This window comes from Homo sapiens, chromosome 11 (genome assembly GCF_000001405.40).
Source record: "Homo sapiens chromosome 11, GRCh38.p14 Primary Assembly".
NCBI lineage: Eukaryota > Metazoa > Chordata > Mammalia > Primates > Hominidae > Homo > Homo sapiens.
The window spans coordinates 1,463,514-1,486,779 of record NC_000011.10 but is presented as its reverse complement, the minus strand read 5'-3'; the positions used below and the strand labels follow the sequence as shown (position 1 = coordinate 1,486,779).

The 23,266-nt window shown below is 58.5% G+C and overlaps 1 protein-coding gene across 2 annotated transcripts; it reads left to right on the top strand.

Moving 5' to 3' along the window:
- MOB2 (MOB kinase activator 2) lies at nt 1–17,332 on the top strand (the record flags this gene model as incomplete). Of its 2 annotated transcripts, NM_001172223.3 has the most annotated exons (5): nt 1–333; nt 5,895–6,055; nt 6,294–6,387; nt 15,361–15,485; nt 16,292–17,323. In NM_001172223.3, the coding sequence occupies 5 exons, from the start codon at nt 224–226 to the stop codon at nt 16,606–16,608; spliced, it is 807 nt and encodes a 268-aa protein (NP_001165694.1). In that variant the 3' UTR covers nt 16,609–17,323.
- Nucleotides 17,333–23,266: the final 5,934 nt, after the last annotated feature.

The following is a 23,266-nucleotide window of genomic DNA, read 5'->3' as shown; positions in this document are numbered from 1 at the left end:
CTCTTCTGGCAGCCATGCCACTTGGAAAAGGCCAATTCAGACGCTCCCTCGTTTCACCAGCCTTGGCCAGCCCTTGCCTCTGGAAAGGGGGCAGCTGTTTGTCTCTGCCAGGCGTCCCATTGGCCAGGGAGTGAGGCTGGAGGGCCCGGCAGCAGGCATTTGCGAGTGCTGGCCAGCCGGCACCCCGCCCCGCTTCTCCTCCCCACCTTCCCGTCGCCCACTCATGCTGGGAGACCACTGCAGTCTCCCTGAAGACCAAGCCCGGCCCGGCCAGTCCCTGCAAAGTGGACTCTGCTGCAAAATGGTGCTTCAGGCTGTCAGCAAAGTGCTCAGGTAACACCTGCCAGCCTGGCTGGGGGAGGGGTGTGTAGCACATCTGTCTGCCCTGTTCTTGCCCCCAGGAAGGAGGTCAGGGTGGGGAGGCGGCGGACTGTGTCCGTGGCTGCCCTCCCAGTGTGGCCGGCGGCTGTGCAGCGAGCTGTGCTGGGCCACACGCAAGCTGTCCAGGGCAGAGGCGGCTGTGCAGTCCCGGGCCAGCCTGGCGGGTTTGCTCTGGAGCCCTGCCCAGTGGGGCTTTCCTTAGCCGCCTGCACTTCCTGTTGCTCTGTGGGAGAGGAGCGGGTCTTGGTGTCCTCGACCTTCGGGGTTGACCCCACCTTGCCGGCACAGGAGCCTGCCTTGTCCTCCCGCAACCCACAGGGTGTGGTTCCTCAGCCGCCAGCAGGTGTGCCTGTCTTTGTCCCAGCGTGCGGCTGTTTGTGCCCTGGGCAGGGGCTTCAGCCACCCAGGCAGAGGTGACCCGGAGTCTGTCCTTGTGTGGCCTTGTCCAGAGAAGTGGCATGGGGTTCCCGGGTGCCTATTTTTGTGCTGGCTGCCATAGGGATGTTGCCGGAAAATCCATTTTTGACATTTTTCTCACCTGTACTTTCTCTGACCTGCTGCGGGGGTGCCTCCCTGCCCACACCACTCAGCTCGGTGTGTGCAGGGGCGTGTGTGGGAGTGTGCGCCCAAGTGTGTGGGAGCGTGCACCCGTGTGTGTGGGAGTGTGCACCCGTGTGTGGGCATGAGGGGCCGGGGGAGTGGGGCAGGCACAGCCAGCTGCAGCAGTGAGTGTGTCCTCCCGGGTGGGGTTGCCTGGTGGGGGTGTGAGGCGAGCGTGGCCTGCTGGACGTGCCCTCCAAGGGCCGGGGGCTGCGGCACCCGTGTGCATCTCCGTGCCTCTGCCTGTCCCTGGGCACCCGGCTCCATCTTTCTCTTCATAGGCTCCTTCCCTATCTCCCGATCACCTGTGCATTCAACAGGGAGGGCTCCACAAGTAGACACAAGAGTGCCGGCCGGTGACCCTGCCTAGGATGTCCTATCTTAAGGTGAAACTGTGAGGTTTTGGAAATGTGTGGGCAAGTTGGCAGTACTCGTGAGTTCAAATCAGGAATGGTGCCTGACATCAGTGGTGTGAGGGGACTGGCGTGTGTGTGTGTGTGCCTGTGCCAGTGTGTGCTTGTGTGTCTGAGGCCAAATGCCGAAGGCAGCTCCACAGGAGACACAGAGGCAGGCCTGGAGCCCAGCCAGGCCCTAAGGAAGACGGGCGGAGTCCCTTCCCTGGGGCTCAGGAAGGTTTCAAAGGAAGCGATGAGGAAGCCACCTTGGCTGGGAGCTGGATGCATGGAGGGGCCGAGGCGCAGTGGAGCATGGTGGCCACGTGGGGCTGAGGTTCTAGGACAGCAGCAGCACCTGCCTGTTTGGACGTTTGGTCTGGGATGTCTGCGGGCGTTCCTTGTGCCATCTTGGCTTTTTCCTTCTCAATGGGCCTCTGCAGAGGGCACAGTAGGCTGGTAAAAGCTCGCTTTGTCTGGGGCTGCTGACCTGTTTGGGGGGGCAGACAATTAAACTCAGAAGAAAAGAAGCCACACTCCACAGCTTCCAGCTGGCTGAAGCCTGTGGGCAGTGCAGGCTGTGCTGAGAGATGGACAGGGGCTCCGGAGGCCTTCCCACCCCTCAGCCTGAGGCCGTGTGACAGAAGTGGGATCAGCACCCAGGGAGAACTCGGGTTAGAACACGGTGTTAGAAATGCAGTTTTCAGGCCCCCCCTCAACACCCAGAAGGCCACATCAGAAATGTAGGGGTGGGGGTGGCGCCAAGCACCCCAGCATGTGGTGCCCTCCCTGCATGTTGGGGTGACAGGAGGTGCCCGTGGCGTGCACCCTGGGCAGCAAGGTGTGCTGAGACCCAGGCTCTGTACCGGGTGGCTACTGGGGGCTCTGCCTGGCCGGGTCTTGGGGGAAGGGGTCACTGGGAGCCTTGACTTTCAGGCTCTGGGTGGACCAACCAGCACTGACATTCACCCGAACCAAGGAGCATGAGGGGCCCGGTGCAGATGGCTGAGTGGGGTCCAAGGACCATGCCCTCCTCAGAGGCGTCACCTGCGGGCCTTTCTCCTGCACCCCACACGCTGCCTGGTCACCGTATTTTCCAGGCCTGGGCTTGGGGACTTGTATTTCTGGGCCCCTCGTGCCTGCCCCACCCCTTGGCGTTGACCTGTGGTGGGAAGTGCCAGATGAGGGCCACCTCCTGCTGCTGCCCACTCACCTCAGGGTCTACAGGCTCGACTTCCATAGCAAGCGTGCTCTGGGCGAGTGGGGGTCTCTGAGCCTGGAGCACCCCATTCCTGTGGGCCGTGGGGCCTGGCCAGGATTCCATCCCTGTGATAATGAAGTTGACACTCGTGGCAAAGGTGCAGGGCACTCGGTTGTGCTGTCCTCGTCCCTCAGGGCGGATGAGGAGTGGGCGGCTCCCAGCCCACTCCCCAGCTCCCCCTGCCTGTGAAGCAGTGTGCACCTGCTGTGGGCAGGGTGAGACCCCCTGTGTGTTGACTGTGTGGTTGTCTAAGTTTTCCACGGGAGCCCAGCAGCTCTGATGCCTCCCTGTGCCCCTTCCCTTGCCCACCAAATTTGTGTCTAGCAGGGATTGCCTCACTTCCCAGTAGGGATCAGTTACGTGCTGGGTGCCAAGGAGGCCGACTGGCACGTCATGGGTACCACTGGCGAGAATGGGGAGGGTGGCATTTGACAGGCTCTTAAAGGACCAGGAGAAGTTTGCTAGGCCTGGTGTAAGATGGGCAAGTTGGCAGAGCAGCAGCTGGTGCCCACAAACAGGGTGCAGACCCCTGTGGCAGGCAGGACAGGTCATCTAGAGCAGGGAGGAGGGAGGTGAGGCTGGTGAGTGTGTGGGAGGCAGGAAGGAGGTGGTTCCATCTGGCCCGGCCCTCCTAAGTGCATGGTGCCTGCCAGGCAGGACCCAGGCTCAGAGCCCACCTGTTGGAATAGTGTGAGGGACTTTGTTTTGGGGGCTGTGCACACAGCATCTGCCCTTCTGCTTCTTCCAAGTGGTCACGGAAGCCCTGTGGGTGGGCTGAGGTCCAGGGTCCACTCCCCAGTCCCTTCAGCGCCATCTCTGTCCTGCCTGCGGCCGGGGCCTGCTCCCACAGTCCTCCCTCCACATCGAAGGACTTGGTCTTTCTGTGCCCCGGGGCTCCTAGCCAGCAGCACAGGGGGAGCTGGGAGCAGGGCGCAGGGCCTCGGCACTTCCCTGGGTGAGGGGCAGCTGGGCCACTGAGGCAGTGACTGGGCAGACCTCTGGGCCTGGACGGCACAGAGCCTGTTTCAGAGCCTGTGAGCCTGCGGGGGGCGCCGCAGAGGTGTTTTCTCCACTGGGCAAAGCCAAGAATGACTAAGGACGAGAAGAGTGCCATGGAGGTGTCGTGTGCTCTGAGGCCTCCTCGGTAGCTGCCGCTGGCTTGGACCGAGCAATGGGCTGCCTCAGAGTGACTGCTTCCTGCCCAGGCCTGGGCCTTCGCTGAGAGCCTGCCCTTCTGGGAAGGAGGGCACTTGAGGTCAGGGAGACGTGGGTGCTGCCAGGCGTTCGGGGCTTTCCCATGGAAGTCCCTCTGTTGGTGCCCGCACAGCCGTTCCTGGAGCAGAGGCCATGTCCTGCGCGTCCCCTTGGTCCTACTACCTTTGGGCCAGTGCCCGTCCACCTGCCCCATGGGAATGAGTGACCCGGTCCAAAGAAGGTAGGCTTGCAGGAGGCTTGTCTCACAGTGCACTAAGCTCCGGGGCCCGGCCAGCCCTGGGTGCTGGGGACAGGGTGAGACTGGGGGAGCAGCTCGGGGAGGCCCAGCCTGGAGGGCCTCGTGCGTACTTTTCTTCTGTGTTCTAGGAGAGCAGGTGTGGACGGGAAGAGGCAGGGAGGCTGAGGTGCCAGTGCCGGAGTGGCGGCTGCTCACTACCTCCTGACCACAGCCAGAGCCTGGGAGAGGGAAGCCAGGTCTCCAGGTTCTGCCCCTGCCCAGCCCTCTCTGAGGACCGGAGGTGGAAGGTAGCCCCAGCCTGGAAGGCTGGCAAGGGGGCAGGAACTGCCAGTAGGGCAGCCTCCCTGAGTGGGCCCTGGGGCACACCCTGAGAGTGAGCGCGCTGACAGCTGCTCCTGCTGGCAGCCCTGCGTGACCGACCACCAGGTAACTGCCACCTGGAGCTTGCCAGTTGACACAGCTCCTAAGACACAGAGCAGGGAGACGGCTTGTAGCCCGCTTGGCAGCCTGGGCCACTGCAACCCACCCCTCCAAATGGGAAGGCCGAGCCCAGGCTGTAGCTGCCCGGGTGGGGTGTGGTGTGCTGTGCTGTGAGAGCACAGGGCAGGGAGGTGCAGGCCCACCTGCCGGTGGTCAGGGCCAGGCCCAGCGTCATGGGGAGAGCCTTCCCTGTGGTGGACACGCTGGGCATGGCCTGGCACAGGCTGGTGTGGAGTCTGGGTGCCTCGCTGTGCTGGGGCGAGGGGCTGCAGGCTACACGGAAGCTCACCCTGTCTGTCCCACCCCTGTACTGTGAGGACCCCAAGTGCCCACGCTGCATGTGGCCCATCCACACCTGTGCTTCCTCTTCCTCAGACCCCACGCCCTGTGCTCTGGAGAGATGGCAGAGTGGGAGTGCCAGGGCCCAGGGGCCCTGCCCCTGCCCCTCCCTGCCCCTGCCCCTGCCCCTCCCTGCCCCTGCCCCTGCCCCTGCCCCTGCTCCTGCCCCTGCTCCCTGCCTGGCTCTGGCTACTCCCAGCACTGCCCCCAGAGGCCTGCGCTGGTCTCCTTTTAAGGCGAAGATCTGCTGTGAGAAGCTGAAAGGGAAACATTTCCCTGGCATTCAGGGAGCATTTTTCCTTTCTCTTTCTCTTAAATAAACCATTAGCAACTTTTCAAAACAAGAAAGAAAAAAAATAAGGACAGGGTCAGGTTGCCACAAAGACCTTTGGCCCCCATCCTCATCACCCTGTGGCCTCCCCAGGCCTGGTGGACAACAGGGATACTGGAGCTGCAGGCCAGGCTGCCGCCTGATGCCAGGGGCCCCGTGCTCTCAGGCTGGCCAGGAAGGCAGGTGCCCTGCACAAGGCCTGTGGTATGTTTTCACCGGGGCCACCAGCGGCAGGGGCAGGGACAGGCTGGCCAACTCAAAAGAAGCCAGGAGTGAGAGGGTTTGCTTCTCCTTTCCTTCCAAGAGCACTGGAAAACTGGAAGGTGGGCGCTGGGGGCCCTAAACCCTGGGCCCCTCCCTGGTTGGAGGACTTGGTGAGGGGTGAGGATGCCCTCCGTGCAGGGGCCCGTGTGGCAAGTGGGAGCGCCAGCCCTTCTTCCCAGGAGGTGCCACGCAAGGCAGCTCCACTGGCCCCTCTGCGGAGCAGCCTCACCGTTGGTGTCCCGTTGGTGTCCTTTGAGCCTGGCAGGGAGGCAGTGTCGCCCCGATGGGCTCGGGCAGCTCCCTCTACACCTGCGCTGGCCACAACTGACCCCCCGGGCAGACCCTGGGTCTGATGGGCGTGTAGTGACCACACCGCGTCTCCTCTCTTGGCAGGAAGTCCAAAGCCAAGCCTAATGGCAAGAAGCCCGCTGCGGAGGAGAGGAAGGCCTACCTGGAGCCTGAGCACACCAAGGCCAGGATCACCGACTTCCAGTTCAAGGAGCTGGTGGTGCTGCCCCGCGAGATTGACCTTAACGAGTGGCTGGCCAGCAACAGTGCGCGGGGGCCTGGGGGCGGGCCCCCTCCCTCCTCCCTGCTCCTCCTCGAAGCCCCTCCTCAAGGGGGACCCCCACGGCTGGTGCTCAGCAGCCCCCTGCCGCGAGGGGAGAATGTGGCCCGTGGACGGGCAGAGCTCACCCAGCCGAGCTCCTGCACCTGTTGCTGGAAGCAGGGGTGGACGGGGCGGCTCAGCTCTGGCGTTTTTCACATCTGGCTCCTTCTCTTCTCTTCCAGCCACGACGTTTTTCCACCACATCAACCTGCAGTATAGCACCATCTCCGAGTTCTGCACAGGAGAGACGTGTCAGACGATGGCCGTGTGCAACACGTGAGTGCTGCCTGGCTACAGCCCACTTTCTCTTGGGAGACTCGGTGGGGCTCTGAGCCCCCGCTGCCCCAGGCTCCTGTCCTCTCAGATTCCGTTCTCACCTGGAGACCCTGAGAAGTCTTGGCACAGGCCTTCCACAACATCCACCTTCCTGTGGAAAGGCCACAGGCTGGGCCAGTGGCCCAGCTACCCAGGTCCCCAGTGGGGCCCAGAAGGTGCAGGAGCTGGTGGGGGTTGATGGGCTATGTTTCTAGGGACAGAGACGTTTCCAGAAGGAATGCCCTAAGATTGCAGAGAGCCCTTCTCCGCTGGCTCCCGTGACAGCTCTGGATGGGACAGTGAGGGCTGGGCTGGGCAGGCCACAGGTCCTTGCTCGGCCATTCATTTCATGGGGGCTCAGTTACCTTCTCCGTGACCATCCAACATGCCTGGTGCTGGTAGCTCTCTCCTGGAAGCACTGCACCCTGATTTCCTCAGTAAATGGGTGTCCGTTAGTGGCCCTGAGCACCTCACTTGCGTAGCATGGGAAGGAGCGCCGCCAGGCCTGGGTTGCTGAAAGCAGCCTTGGAGGCTGCAGGCAGGAGGAGGCTGGGTCTGCTGGGCTTAGCCTGGGACATGTGCGGCTGAGGAGGGCGGAAGCTTTTCCCTGATGTCCCGTTGTTGTCAGTGCACACAGGTCAGGGACAGAATGTGTGCCTGTGAGTGCGTCCTGAAAGTCATCCTGCCCACAGACATGGCTTTCCTGGCCCTGGCACAGGGAGACGTGGTCCCCAGACAAAGCTGAGTTCTGCCTTCAAGAAGCCAAGGGGAGCTTCTGCACAGGCAGCTGGCAGGCGTCCCCTTGGCTTCAGTCCTGCTGGGCCCTGCCCTCATGGCCATGATGGGTCACAGCTTGGTTTGGTTATGGGTGACACCGGGGCAGGTACAGACAACAGCTGGCTTCACTGTCTTAATTCCCCAGGAAAATGAGGTGTCACAGCCAGGCATGGCCCAGGAAGATGGGGACAGTGCTTATGGCTTTGAGGGGAGCAAGCTCAATGTGAGACGGCGGTGGCCTCCATGGATCAGGCATGGAGATGGGTCCTGAGGTGGCAGGGCAGCACCCGAGAGCTACTCGAGAGCCTTGTGTCCACTGTGGCTCTGGAGCCACCTGTGGCCAAGTGCTGGCTCAGCGCCTCTGCTCCTGGGCAGACGGGGCCTGGCACCCTTCCCAGAGGCTCTGCTCCTGCATGTTCTGTGGTACTGGGTTGGTTTGGAAAAGGGGTCCTTGGAGGAGTGTAGGATGTGGTGTTGGGCAGACCTATGTCCCCTTGGAGGGCCTAGGCCACCCAGATTTGCCTCTTGGTCCTTCTCATCTGGAGCTGGCATCATGGTGGTAGTAGATGTGTGTGAATTAATTGCATGTAATGCCTTTCCAGGAATCCTTTCAAACCAAGGGACAGAAATCCACTCAAACTAAGAGAAACATGGAGACTTCTCAGAGGGCCTCAGGGCCACTTGCCACCCAAAAGACCAGCAAGTCTGCCTGGGTCGTGTGAGGGCTCTGGGATTGAGGCGCGTCTCCTCCCTGCTAGGGCCTGTAGGACAGTCCCAAAAAGGCTGATGTCTGACTCCTAGGGAGACGAGAAAGGGGGCGGGGCCGGAAACACATTGCAGCAATAATGGCTGAGAACTTCCCACAAAGACACAAACCTGCAGACTTAAGAAGCTAAGCAAACCCCAAATAAGGCTCACAGACACGTGCAGATGCATGCAACCAAATGCTGAGAACTGGGGGCAAAGAAAAAGCCCTTGGCAGCCATCCTCTGTCAGCAGTCAGACGGCGGTGGCCTGGTACTGACAACAGATGCCGCAGTGAATGACCGTGGCACTTTTAGAAACCCAGGAGGCCAGAAGGAAGAAGGAAGCCCCACACATCTTCCAGTGCTGGGAGAAAAGAAAGGTCATCCCAGAATTCCACATCCAGTCAGTGTCCAAAGTCACTCAAAACCAAGAGCCCTCACAGCCAGCAGACCTGTTCCAGAGGCTCCCTGCAGAGTTCTCCCAACAGGAGGGCCTCCTCCCACTGAGTGTTTGTGGAGACGCCAGTGATGGTGCAAGAAGACAAGAGTAGTGTCCGGCAGTGCCTGTGCAGTGCCGTTCCCAGGGCGGCCGTGGGGCCTGTGCAGTGCCATTTCCAGGGCGGCCGTGGGGCCTGTGGTGGCGGTGGGGCTGTGGCGGCTGTGGGGCCTGGCGGCGGTGGGGCTGTGGGCAAGAGAGCTGCTATGCTCCAGTGGAAGCACATGTGTGGGTGCCATGGAGAGCATGTGGGGTTGAGTTGCGTGTTACAGCCCTTTGAGCAGGCCTTGCAGAGCTTATGTGAAGAGACGCAGTCAGAATCAGAATAGGTAAATTTAAATGAAATACAAAAACATTTCAGTGGCCCAAGAGAAAGCAGGAAAGAAGAAATACCATAAGGAATGAGAAACAGAGGCAACAAACAGCAAATAGTGGAAAACCTAAATGCTAACAGATGAACAGACGGGACTGGGCAGCTTATGAGAATGTATTTTTAAAATAACCAACTCTCTGGTGTTTACAAGAAGCTCATTTGTTGTATTTCATTCGGGATGCTGTCACGAAACATGATAGGCTAGGTGGCTTGTGAACAACAGAATCTTATTTCTTGCGGTTCTGGAAGCTGAAAGTCCAAGGTGAAGATCCACTGTGGACCAGGAAGGGGGCACTGACCACGTCACTGGATCTGATTAGCCAGATTCAGTGTCTGGTGAGGGTCCCTTTCCTGGTCCACAGACAGCACCTTCTTGCTGGAAGGAAGGCAGGGCGACGGAGCCACCAGTTCTGTTCATGAGCGTTCTACCCTTGCAACCTCATCGCCTCCCAAAGGCCCCATCTCCAGATACCCTTGCGTCTGGGGTTAAGCTTTCAACATAGGAATGTGGGGCATAAGCACCCTGTGTGTCACACCACTCTAGGTGCTGTGGTGCAGGCGGGTGAGAAGTAAGAGGACAAGATGTGCTGAGAAAACACCCATCAGAAGGAAGCGGAAGTGGCTATGTCAGTGCCAAAGGAGACTCCGAGGAAGGAAGTGACCAGGAATAAGAAGGTTATCTAATTAGAAAAGGAGCAGCTCTTGAAGAAATCCTGCCATAAATGTGTGTGCGCCAGACAACAGGGCTTTCCACACAAAGCAAACGGACGGCCTGTGTAGAAATCACATGATCGCCGGGGATTGCAGCCCTCTCCTCAGTGATGGAGCCTCATAGACAGTCAGCGAGAGCACGGAGCCCGATGACCCCACCCGTGGGTTGGATTGAAATGACACATGCACTGCAGCCTCAACAGCAGAACACCCATCTTTTCAACTTCACAAAGATTAGCCACCAAGATGGAGCATACCTGTCACAAAAGAGCCCTTAACAAATTTTAAAAAATCAAAACCATACGAAGTAAGTTTTCTGACCATGGTGGGGTTAAATTAGAAATCAGTAACAGAGAACAGGAAAGTCTCCAAACACTTGCAGACTAATACAATTCTGAGTAGTCCATGGGTCCGAGAGGATGCCTCAACAAAAAAACTTTAACAAACTGTACACAGGAAAATACAGCATGTCAGAATTTGTGAGACATAACTCAAGCAGTGCCTAGAGGGGATTTATAGGATTAATGCTTTCTTAGAAAAAGAAGATGACTTTCAGTAATCTACGTTTCCAACTTAAACTAGAAAAAGAGCAAAATAAGTCAAAATCAAGGACAAGAAAGTAAATAAGAACAGAAAGCACTGAGATTGATTTTTAAAACAATAGGGGAAATGAGTGAAATCAAAATGTGATGACTTTGAAAGGTAATAAATTGGTAAGCCTTTAGTAGGTACAAAGATAAGAGAGAAGATGCAATGATCAATAAAAAGGAGTGAGTGTCACTAAACCCTGTGGATGTAAAGAGGAGTATCACTGTAGACCCAGTGGATGTTAAAAGGATAATAAGGAAGTATTGGAAAAAAACCCTCTGTGCACATGAATTCTATGGCTTGGGTTAAATGGACCAACTCTTTGGAAAGCGCAGTATATCAGAACTCGCCTAAGATAGGCAGTGCCATAAGGTAAGAAGAAAGAATAAAAGGCATCCAAATTGGAAAAGAAATAAAACAATAAGCCCCCCTTATCTACAGTTTCCGTTACCCACAGTCAACTATGGTCTGAAAATAGTTAATGGAAAATTCCCGAAATAAACAGTTAATAAGTTTTCAACTGCATGCTGTTCTGAGCAGTGTGATGCGGTCTCCACCGTCCTGCTCCAGGTGTGCCTCCTCCTCCCTCGGCCCAGCTGTGCCTCGGCCCCCGTGTGGATCCACTGCCGCAGTGCCAGGGTGCTCGTGCTCAGGTTGCTCTTATGTGACATGAGGCGGCCCAAAGCGCAAGAGCGTGATGCTGGCAATTCAGATATGCCAAAGAGAAGACAGAAAGCACTTCCTTGACCTAAAGATGAAAAGGTGAAAGTTCCTGACTAGAAAGAAACAGATTGTGTGTGAGGTTGCTAAGATCTAAGGTAAGAACAAATCTCTTCTTTATGAAATTGTGAAAAAGGGAAAAAAAGTCCCTTTAATTTCGCTGTTACATCTGAAATTGCAAAAGTGACAGCCACAGTGCGTGTTGAGTACTTGGATCTGTGGGTGGAGGAGGTGAGAGGATGGGAGCAGCAGCGTGTTGCCATTGAGCCTGCAGGAGGCCAGCAAGGGACCCCCTGATATGCGACCCCAGCCACTCACTGCAACTGATTGTCCTCAGTTTATGAATTACACTGGGTGTGGTGGCTCACACCTGTAATCCTGGCTACTCAGGAGGCTGAGGCGGTGGATCACTTCAGGAGTTCGAGACTAACTTAGCAACACAGCGAGACCCTATCTCAGTCAATCAATCAAGTCTGCCTGTCTTTATTTTAGTAATGTATGTATAGGAGAAAGCGCAGCATATATAGGGTTTGGTGCTCTCTGTGGCTTCAGGCATCCCCTGGGGGTCTTGCAGTGCATCCCCTGTGGATGGGGGGGATTGCTGTATCCCTGTGCACACGTGTGATTGGGAAAACCTCAAGGATTGTAGCAAATAATAATATAAATTTAGTGAGGTCAACACGCACAAATCAGTCATAGGTCTGTATATTAGCAATGTGAAATTTAAAACTGAAATTAATATTTAACATGCCATTTATAATAGCTCCAAAAATAATGCGATCCTTAGTTATAAACTTAACAAGACATTCCCAGGATCTGCACCCTGGAAACTACGAAATGCTGTTACAGAAAATCGAAGGTCTACATAAATGGAGAGACGCACTGCGTTTATCACCTGGAAGATGACTCCAAACACAAATTCTCCCCCAAACTGATCTGTTGATTTAGTGCAGTCTCAATCCAAATCCCAGCAGAGTTCAAGTATAGACCAGTTAGTTCTAAAATTTATATGGAGGGACAAATTAACTGAAATAGCTACAATGATTTTGAAAAAATAAGAGGAATCTCACACTTTTGAGACTTACTGTGAAACTCTAGTAATTAAGACAGTGTGCAGTGTTGAAGGAATGGATACAGAGCTCCATGGAACACAGTAGAGTCCAGAGATAGCCCCACACAAACGTGTGGACGGAGAGTCCGGAGACAGCCCCACACAAACGTGTGGATGGAGAGTCCGGAGATAGACCCACACAAACGTGTGGATGGAGAGTCCGGAGACAGCCCCACACAAACGTGTGGATGGAGAGTCCGGAGATAGACCCACACAAACGGGGCCATCAGAGTTTTGACAAAGAGCAAAATAAATTCAAGGGAGAAAGGGTAGTCTGTTCAAAAATGCTGCTGGGAAAAGCAGTCATTTGTGTCAAAAACCAAACGCTGACCTATCCCTCATGCCTCGTGCAAACATCTAAAACTCCAAAGCTTTTGGAAGAAACCATAGGAAATCCTTATGACCTGACACTAGGCAGCAAAATTCAGAACTTTTGCTTCAAGACACTTTTAAGAGAAAGAAGACAAACTCCAGGCTGGGAGAGAAAACATTTGCAAATCACACATCCCACAAAGGACTGATATCCAGAATACATAAAGAACATACACAACTCAGCAGTAAGAAAACAAAACAGTCCAGTTAACTGTCAGCAAAAGAAATGAGCAGACAGTTTGCCAAAGAGGGTGTAAGGATGGCAGCTGGGGCTATCCTGTGTTGTTAGCAATTAGAGAAAGGCAAGCCGAAACCATGGGCAGACCCATGTCCACCTGCCCACATGCCGGTCGGGACACTGGTGCTGGCCAGGATGTGGCCACCTGGGACTCTGTTCTGCTGGCAGGGACACAGGTGAATAGATGAGCACGCCATGTCCATCTCTGCAGGGGCAGTGTCTGGGCAGTGAGGAGCCGTGGACTTCCGACACGTCTGCCACGTGACTGCATCCCAGGGGCCTCCGTGCAAGAGGGGCCCAGATCGGGAGGATCCGCGCGGTGCGATTCCTTCCCGCGGCCCATCCCTGAGGAGCCATCCCCGGGGTGCTGGGGGCACAGCAGCACGGGTGTGAGGGGCCACGTAAGCCGCCGCGTGTCCTGATTGTGGTTATGAATGCGTGAGTCCACATGTGGATAAAAATCTTAGAACTATATACCAGAAACGGTTTACTGATAATTGAAGAAGTACAGGAAACAGTGGTGTTCCATCTTTCAGAACAGATGGGACAATCCACAGTGTCCCTGAGTTACTGCTTTCTCTGGGTTTGCATTGTGGAAAAGGGTTTCCGTCTCTAACCTCCACTGTTTTGAGACCTGTCGCACACCTGTGGCCAGGTGCATCAGATGTCAGCTTGCAGTGTCAGGGTACCTGGAGCCAGTGTCTGACTCCTGCAGAGTGCTGAGCCATCCTGGCTGGGTCCTCGCCCTGGAAACATGGGCCTCAGCCTGGCCCTTAGGGGCTGGGCCTCCCCTACACCATCTGGGAACCCCAGGACAGTGGGGATACGTGCGTCCTCTACATCATTCTCGAGGAGCAGATGCTGAAAGGACTGTTGTCTCTGCATTCTCAGAGGGTCTGACAGCCTGGTGGCGATGCCCACGGTGAGGCCTGCAGCCTGGGAAGGTGGGCGTGAAGGTCATGCAGAGCTGTCCCAGGGGGAGGACAGCACCTGAGAGGCAGGTGTGGGCACTGCATCCCCGTCCTCATGGCCTGTCCATTTTGGGGCTGCACTTCCCCTTCGGGTGGGCTGAGTCAGCCCCGCACAGGGCACACATGAGAGCTCCTGGTTTGCATTCTGGAGGTGGGTGCTGGGAGGGGGTTGTCCTAGGGCCCTGGTGGTGCTGGGAGGTGGCCTGATGGCTGTTTCTGTTGCAGAGGGCAGGGTGCCAGCATGCAGGGCTTGCAGTGTCATCCTCTAGCTTCTTGGTAACTCTGGTGACTCCCCCCGGGATCTGCAGTGCACAGGCTGAGGGGCTTCTTGGACACAGCAGAGGGGTGCCCAGAGACGCTGGAGGCCCTGTGCCCAGAGATGCTGGAGGCCCTGTGCCCGGAGACGCTGGAGGCCCTGTGCCCGGAGACACTGGAGGCCCTGTGCCCAGCTGGGAGGATGGCTTCTCTGGCTGCGCAGGAAGTGGGCGAGCCCCCCGTGGCCCTGTCTCAGCCCTTGGGGCGTCTCCCCAGGTGCCTTGGTGGGCTCTGGAACCCAGGGCACGATGCTTGGAGCTGGCCAAGAGAAGAGTGGCCTCCAGAGTGGAGCCTGGGTCCATCCTTTTCAGCACTGCCCCACCCAGGGCCATTCCAAGAGGAACCGTGACTGGATGAGGAGGGTGGGAGCGGTTCATGTGGAGCCTGGTACTGGCAGACTGCCTGTTGGTCTAGCTGGGGCAGTGGAGGCGATGGTGGTTGTGGCCATGGTGTGGAGGGGGCGTTTGCTCAGTGGCCAGTACTGCTCTGTGCTGTGTGGCCCATTCCCACCTGTGGTGAGCTGGGAGCTGGCTCTCAGGGAGGAAATCCCGACCCATAGTGTTGGCTGTGTCTCAGGTGTGAGCACTCCCACCACAGCACTCTCCACTGCCTGTGGGTGGGGCTGCGGCATCGGCCCCAGCATGCCCTGGTTCAGGCCTGCGGGGGCGGCCGCTGTGGGCATGGCCTTGGAGGACTGAGACCCAGCACCGTGGCAGGGGGAGAGGGGTGGTGGCTGCCAGGTGGGTGCCCTGGGTTTTGGTGTTGTGCTGGGGGAGGAGGGGTGTTAGGGGCTGGGGGTCACCTTATATTAACATGAACTAGAGCACACCCTTGTCATGGCTGGACCCAACAGTAAGAGGCAAACCCAGGGTGTCCATGTCCCTAGGATGCTCCAGCCTGCTCTGGGGCCACGAGTCTCACATGAGGACTGGCCGCCCTTGTGTACAGGGGCAAGAGGGGGCCAGGTCCCTGTCCTGGCCAGGCTGTTAGCCGCAGGTACCCACAGAGACCACCGCCCTCCTCTGCTTTCCCCGGAGAGGGGCTTGGCTTCTAGCAGTCAGAGCAGGGCTCTCCCAAAGGGTGGGGCCTGGCCGGCGAGCCACAGCACAGCTTCCTGGGAAGAGAAGGAGCCTCTGTGTGCTTTCAAAATACAACAGAAAAACAGCAGCACGCACTTGTGTAAACGAATACAACTGAAGCCATGTAGAAGCGGAGAAAACGAAGATGACCCCTTCATTTAATCACACACCTGTACAGCCATGTGGCTGGCAGGCTCCCCAGCGTGATCCTGGCGTAGTTCTAAGTCAGCGCAGGCAGACCCCTCCATAGAGTGCAGTGTGGTCCCCGCAGACAGTGTGTGGGGACAGTGTGCATGTCCAGGGAGGGAGACACCTGGGTCTGCCACACCTCCGCTGCTGGCGCCACCTCTGCCCGCAGATGACCTGAGCGGGTGGGACCCAGTGGCTGGGTGGGTGTGCAGCGGGCGCATGCCCTGACCGTGTCTCTGTCTCCACAGACAGTACTACTGGTATGACGAGCGGGGGAAGAAGGTCAAGTGCACGGCCCCACAGTACGTTGACTTCGTCATGAGCTCCGTGCAGAAGCTGGTGACGGATGAGGACGTGTTCCCCACAAAATACGGTTCGTCTCCCCCAGCACTGGGCGGTCATCCTCACAGTGGGGCAGGGAGCATTCAGGACGTGTCTGCAAGTGACCAAGCTCCTGTGCCGGGAGGGGCAGAGGCACGGAGGGCGGCAGCTGCACCACCCCAGTCCCTGCTTAGCATGGAGCCACCTGGGCTGTGGGGTGAGGCCGGAGCCCTTGGGCAGGGGTCAGCCCAGCCAGGGCCAAGGGCCATCTCCCTGGCCCTCTGGGCCATGCGGCTGCACTGGGCCCCTCTTGGTTTCTGCCGCTCATGCTGCTCTCACCGTCCAGCTTGTGGGCACTTGGGCTGGGTATCAGCCGCCAAGCCTGTGTCCAGATTTTGGTGGGATGTGGTGGGGCTCCACGCCACTCCCGTGCTGCCAGAGGGACGGCAGGGGACAACAGGAGAGGCCTGTGCCACCATCGCCACCTCCGTCCTGGCCCGGGAGATGGCCCCAAGTGTCCATCAGGGAGACACCACGGGGGCCCGAGTGCCCGATCACAGGCCCCTTCCTGAGGAGGTGGCCAGGATGGCCCAACGAGCTCCCAGCCCTCAGGGCAGGTGCAGCCTCCGGAGCCTGAGCACGCAGGGAGGTCTCAGCAGCCCAGACCCGGGGTTGGCAAGTCCCTGTGGTGCCTGCTGATGGGCAGAAGCTGTTGCTGCTGGGGCTTTGTAGGCCCTGAGGGTGGCAGGGTCAAGGTGTGGGTGGCAGGTACCAGACCCACCAGGCTGGGTGCCAGGGGCCTGGCCTCTGTTGGGGCCAAGGGATGTCTGCAGCTTGTGACACGGTGGCCTTCCCCAGGCAGAGAATTCCCCAGCTCCTTTGAGTCCCTGGTGAGGAAGATCTGCAGACACCTGTTCCACGTGCTGGCACACATCTACTGGGCCCACTTCAAGGAGACGCTGGCCCTGGAGCTGCACGGACACTTGAACACGCTCTACGTCCACTTCATCCTCTTTGCTCGGGAGTTCAACCTGCTGGACCCCAAAGAGACCGCCATCATGGACGACCTCACCGAGGTGCTATGCAGCGGGGCCGGCGGGGTCCACAGTGGGGGCAGTGGGGATGGGGCCGGCAGCGGGGGCCCGGGAGCACAGAACCACGTGAAGGAGAGATGAGCCCCCCGGGCCGGACAGGGGCACACGTGTGCAAAGAGACGGTGGTGTGTGTTCTCTCCTGCATCTGCGTGTGCACACATGTGCTGGGCACGCGTGTGGTGAGGTCTGAGAGGGCCCCGGGCTGCACTGGTGTGGGCTGCACAGGCACAGACGCAGACGGCCCCGGCCGTGTCCTGTGGCCCCCTGTCGGATGGATGCGTGCCGTTTGTAGAGAAGAGCCTTTGGGCCCATTCACTCGTTCAGCAGACACGCATGGGACTGATGCTTTGAGTTTTCTTCTGTGGGGTTTTCCTTTCTCTGGTCTCCGTGCAGCCCCTGCCCTCCCTCGGGTGCTGCTGGCCTCAAAGGAGGAACTCGTGGGGGGAGGGTGTGATTTGCAGACCTGGGTCTCTGCTCTGCTCTGGGGGTGGGGCTTGCTTTCACAGAGACCCTCCTTCCCTCTCACCCCTCCTCTCCCGGCCTCGCCAGGAGTCTTGGCTGTTGGCAGCTCAGAGGTGGGGGAGGCCTGTGGTGTGAGGTGCCCTGCACCTGCTCCTGCTCCTGTCACCCCTTCCTGCTGCCTCCTCCATGCCCAAGGAACACCCATGGTGCAGTCCTCAGGCAAGGCCAGGACGGGGCTGAGGCCCTGCGTGGAGATGCTGCACCAGCGGAAGGCTGAGACCCGCTTACCTTAGTTCATCTGTTCACTCGTAATAAAAAGAATTCTCTCAGGTCAGAGCCTGTGTACGTCTCAGCGTCTCGGTGACCGCCCCCCCCCCACACTGTGGGCATCCCGGCCACTTGCTTGGTGGGCAGCCCCAGGAGCAGGCACCCCGGAGGCTGCCCCGAGAGTGGGGGTTGGAGCAGACTCGCCCCTCACTGCCTGCGAGGGTCCACAGCCAGCCTGCAGGTGCCGTGGGGGCAGCACATACCCTGTGTCACTCGCTCTTCCCAGCTGCCTCAGCCCCCTGCCTCTCCCCGTGCTGGTGGCGGGGACCCTCAAATGTGGCTGCAGTAAGCTGGAGACATCTTCTCCGAAGGGCTCTGGGCCAGCCTGAAACAGTGGCTCTGCCGCAGGGGCCATTCCTGGCCGGGACAGCGTGGCCCAGGGGCAAGCAGGTTTGTGTCCTCAGCCTGGGAGTGGGTGGGCACGTGCTGCAGGGAGAGGGGCCCTAAGCTGAAGCCTGGAGCTTATCAGGACCTGAGTGGGCTGAGAAGCGGGAAGAGAGGGCTTCCAGGGTCAGGGCCTAGTTGGTTCAGACTTCAGGACTGTGGGCTCCTGCCGATGGCGCCTGCTGCACAGTGACCTCGGGCAGTCCGCCCCCCCCCCATCCCCCTTAGCTAGGGGGGCCTGCCCAGGTCGTGGTGCTCCCCTGGCCTCGGGCTCAGCCTGCATGATGCACCTGTGGCCAACAGGCCCCTTCTTGGCTTTCCCAGGGATCGAGCTGCAGGTCAGAGGCCCTTCCCCTGCCCTGTCTCTGCCTCCCACCCCGAGAGCTGACAGCCTCTGGGCTTCTCAGAACATGTCTGGAGTCAGCTGGGGGCGTCTCCTCCGACATCCACGCGTACCCTAAGGCCTTCACCGCCTGGTCCGCCACCTCCCCACGAGGGCCCGCACTGACTCCGTGACCCTGGGCTGCATGGTGAGTCAGTGCCTGGAGCCAAACCCAGTTCCCAGAGAGAGGCCTGCTGGGTGCCACCCACCCTTGTCTTCTGATGCTCTGCGTGGACCCCCAGAGTGGAGGCCCCAGGACACCCACAGAACTTGACTGAAGGGGCTGAGCGTAGGAACCTGAGGCAGGGACCGGCGCTGGCCTAGGTAGCAAGGAGGTCCCCCGGCGAGGGAGGGCAAGAACAGGGGCGGGTGGCCTGGTGGGGCCACCCTCTGGCTGAGGCCCCGTCTAGGGTGTGCAGGGAGCTCCTGGCTGAGGCCACAGGGAGCCAGCCTGGCACACAGCCTGGGTCGCTGTGTGCTGGCGAACCTGGGGCCTGGCTGCCGAGCGGAGGCTGGGTGGAAGATTGGACTGAGAGTGCTGTAGGGCACAGGGGGCTGGGGGCCAGCTCCACTGGGGCTGAAGGGGCTAGGAGGACACCGGGATTCCAGCCAGAGCCTCCAAGGCAGCCTCAGATGGAGCGTGTGTGGAGCCCGTGGGACGGCCTTAGGAGGTGTCCAGGGCGCGCATTCGTGCCGGTCTCACACTCAGGATGCAGCTGCAGGGTCCCCAGGGCACGTGGGAGTCGCGGGCATGAGTTCCTTTGGGAAGGGTGCCTGGGATGAGGGCTGGCGCTGGGCGTTGGGGGCGCCTGCTGCTAGGCCATTGTCTGGTGGACCTGTCCCTCTCCTGGGCTGAGGGGACTGTGCTGTGCGCTGTCCTCCACTGGGATGGGTTCTTGCTGTAAGACCTGGAGTCCTGGTCAAGCCTTCCTGCCTCTGCCTCCGTTTCCCTCCGTGAACAGGAGGCCTGTACACTGAGGGGGGTCTCAGTGTTGAGGGCTCAGCCTCGCCCCCAGCTGCAGCCATGGCTCACTAAGTCTCTATCTATGGTCTGTGTTCTGAAAGGCAGAATGATGGTCTCCAAAAGAGATCCGTGTCCTAATCCTAAGAGACTGTCTCCTTAGATAGCACAGCAGGATGGAAGCTGCAGATGGAATCAGGTTCCCGGTCACTGACCTGAGGAAGGGGAGGTTATCTGGATGGGCCCAGTGTTGTCAGGAGAGCCAAGGGCACTGAGCAGGGAGGCAGCGGAGGAAGACAGCGCGGCGTGGGAAGGGCCTGAGTCAGCAGTGCAGGCAGCTCCTAGAAGCTGGGAAAGGAAGGCACCCAGAAAGAACTGGCCCTGCAGACTAGCCCGGTGAGGTCCGTTTGAGGTAAGTTCATTTTGCCTCCAGCCACGAAGTTCATGGCAACTGCAGCAACAGGAGATGAAGGCAGATTTTGGTTCTAGGCATGAGGCACTGCTGTAGCAAATACCTAGAAAGGTGGAAGTGGCTTTGGAATTGGGCTGAAAGAATTTTGAGGGTGATAGAAAAAGCCCGTGATGTTGTTAAACAGGTGGTAGAAGGATGGAGGCGAGCGGGGCTCGAGGGGCTCGGAGGAACCAGCCTGGGCTCTGAGAAGAGTCAGAGCCCCTCTGACCCGCCCGTCCTCGGACATGTGGGGTTAAAGGTGCAGGTGGGAGCTCAGAGGGAAAGGAAAGAACGGGAGCCAGGGAGAGCCCCGTCCATGGGGGCAGAGGTGCAGCTGCACTCTGTCCCGTTGCCACGTGCGGGCAGCACTCGAGGGTGGTCAGCCTGGGCCCCTTGCGCTGCTCAGGTTGGCCACTAAGTGAGAGAAGGACATTAGCAGAGGGGTGAGCACCCTGCCATCGGGAATTCTCAGCTGAAGATGCTGATGTCAGGAGATTCACTGTCAGGAATGTGTGCTCAGAGTAACGGCCACACCAAGAGCTCCTGGAGGAGGGCGAGCCTGTGGCTGGTGGATGCCCCGGGTCACCCAAGCAGATGCTCAAAGCAGGGACCGCTGTGGGAGGTCTGTGGACGAGCCTTGGGTCTGTGGACGAGCCTTGGGTCTTACGGATCCGGTGAAGCCCTGTGGGAACCACGAGAGGCTCTTAAACCATCAGAAACTCAGCTGGCTTGGACTGAGGCAGAGGGGATGTGATGAAAGGCTCTTGAGCCCCAAAAATCAGCAGGCAGGAAGCAGACTAAACTGTTCAGCTGCAAACACTTGCTACGTTTCATAAATAGAGAGCATGGCCCTGAGGGTGGAGGTGTCAGCACAGAGGCAGAGTTGGGACCCACAGAAGGAGTTCCCAGGCCTTGCTGGGACGGAGGAAGTGTACCCAGCTGGATTTTGGATTTCTTGGGAGCAGCGACACAAGCACCTTGCAGCTTTCTCTGTGTGTCACGTGTGTGTGTGTGTGTATGCACATATAAATGACTGGGTTTCACCGTCACCCAAACTGGAGTGCTGGGTAATCCTAGCTCACTGCAGCCTCAGACTTCCGGGCTCAAGGGGTCCTCCCCCTTCAGACTCCTGAGTAGCCAGCACCACAGGTGCGAGCCACCACGCCCGGCTGATTTTGAAATATTTTGTAGAGTTGAAGTTTCACTACCCAGGCTGGTCTTGAACCCCTGGACTCAGGTGATCCTTTCTGTCTCAGCCTCCCAAAGTGCTGGACCGTCACACCCAGCCAAACTTTCCTTGAAAACAGGAGTGTCTGTGACTGGCATTCCGCGTCTGTTCTCTGGTCGTATTTTGGGAGCAGGTAACTGGTTTTCTAGCTTTCGGGGTCCACAGATGGAGAGGAAACTGCCCCAGGGTGGAATGCCCAGAGTGTCACCCATACCTGATCGGGGTAGCTTAGAGGGTGCGACTTGCGACTTGTGAGCTGATGAGCTGTACGTGAGGTTTGGGACTGGACTGGGTGCTGTGTTTGGTGGAGACTGTTGGGGCCGTGAGGGGAGGGATGCATTTGCACGTGGGATGGGTGTGAAGCAGCGGGAGTGGGAGGGTACTGCGTTCGGCCTGAGACATCCCTTACCACTGGTGATGTCCACATCTAGTCCCATGGAAGTGAACGTGCCACCCAGCAGCAAAGGGGAATGAAAGCAGCGATGGGATTAAGGCAATCAGCTGACCTTGAGAGGCAGAGATGGTCTGGGCCCAGTGAGAGCACGAGGCCTTCATCGTGGAAGCTGGACGCAGGTTGGGATGCGCAGGACACAGCTGTGAGGAGGCTCCACCCACGCTCCTGGCTGCGAAGGTGGAGACCCCAGGCCACGGGATGCAGGCGGCCACAGGTCCTCCCCTGGAGCCTCCAGGAGGAGCACACCTTGATTCTAGACCAGGGCACCCCTTGAGTGAGACCTGCCCAGTCCTTGACTCTGGGACTGTGAGGTATTGGTGTTTTAAGCTTCTTACTTTGCGGTAACTATGGCGGTGATAGGAAACCACAGGAGACAATGCATCTACCAAGCAGGCCAAGGCGTTCTTACAGGGTCCTGGGGGCAGGTGCACAAGAGGGCCCAACTCCCCGGCATGAGACCCACAGTGTAGACTGTGCCAGTCTGGCTGGCACGAACGTGGCTCCCCGGGTAGTGTTCCCTGCACGTCTGTCAGCCCTGCCCGCTCTCCAGCAGGCCCCGCTGCCTGGAAAGTCGCCACTGGTTCTCCCTCCTGTTGCTGGCCTCCTCCTCTCTGGCTCTCTGCTGACCCCGACCCCTTGCCAGATCACACCAAGAGACTTGGGTTGGTGGTAGGGAGTTGGGGTGGGATGGGGAGAAGTCACTGGAGTGAGTGGGGAGGCACTGGACTTAGGGCAGAGGGCCTGGGCACCACACCACTGGAGGGCAGGAGGCAGGCAGGACGGGGAGGCAGGGCCAGTCCACCTGTGGTGAGCTCCCTGGCGGGATGGGAGCAGGGCAGCTGGAACGCCCCACCTTGAAGCTGGCATGCGGGCATCAGCCTCCTGCAAGCTCTGAGGCTTTGTGACACCAGGAATTGTTCCATCTTATAGCTTAGGAGGCTGGGGCTCTGTGCCTCTGCCTTCAGCTGACGGAAAAGCCCAGGGCAGGCTCCCCATGGAGCAGACCTAGGCCTGGACTGCTGTGTGCAGGGCCCCTCCCTGGAGCACCCACCTCCCACCTGCATCCTGTACAGGAGGTGGGTCAGACTGTCGTCCCCCGCCACCCACCTGCCATCCCATGGGTGGGCTCACCAGTCGGCTCGTTCACCAGGGCCCTAGCTCTCAGGCCAGGCCGTGGCAGGCTCTGAGCCCAGATGTGTCCGTCGGATTAGCCACCTGGGAACTGAGGACCAGGACTGTGAAGCCATCCTCTAGGTGGGCAGACCGGCCACCACATCCTTTTTCAATCTCCATTTTAATTTCTTCATAGAAATGATGTGAGGACCGACTGGTGTAAAGTGAGACTAGTGTCTGCCACATCAGAAGTCCTGCCATATTTGTTTTCATTTTTTATATAAACCAGCAGATTCTGGCTTAGCTCGCTTTGGGTTCTGTTACTTACAACCAAGAGAGCTTGGTGTCAGAAGTGGGACTGCAGGACACAGCCCCTTCCTGAGCAGTGGGGAGCTGGCAGGACTCTTGACACACTGTTTCCTTTTGGGCCTCCAGTCATGGGCCTGAGAAGGCTGACTTCTCACCGTGAATGTTTAGAGGAGGGCCAGGAGTGCGTGTGTCAGCCGCTCTCAGAGAAGCAGGTGCAGGACCACAGGTCAGGAAGGCTTCCGGTCCAGGGCCAGTAGCCTGCGACCCCACAGACTGTCCTGTGCCTCACTGAACCGTAGCAGCCAAATTCCTTTCCTCAGCCTGTTTCTTAAGGTAAAATGAACTGGGAAACTGTAATCCAGGGATTGGAATGGATCCTGATTCCCTGGGCCCCTCCCAAGTGCCTTCTCTTCAGGGTACCAACCTCCTGTGAGCTCAGCCACTTGGCAGTCCAGGGTCAAACAGAGGACGGCTCAGCTTCCCTCTGTGTCCTGGGCTCTGAGCGGAGCCCTGAGCTAACTAAGCCTGACTAACATGGTGACCCCCTGGCTCCCTCCAGAGAGATGGGTACAGGCACAGCTTGAAGTTCAGGGCAGTGGCTCTCACCTGGGGGTGATTCTGTCCCCTACCAGGAGACTCATGGCAATGTCTGGGGACGTTTTGTCACA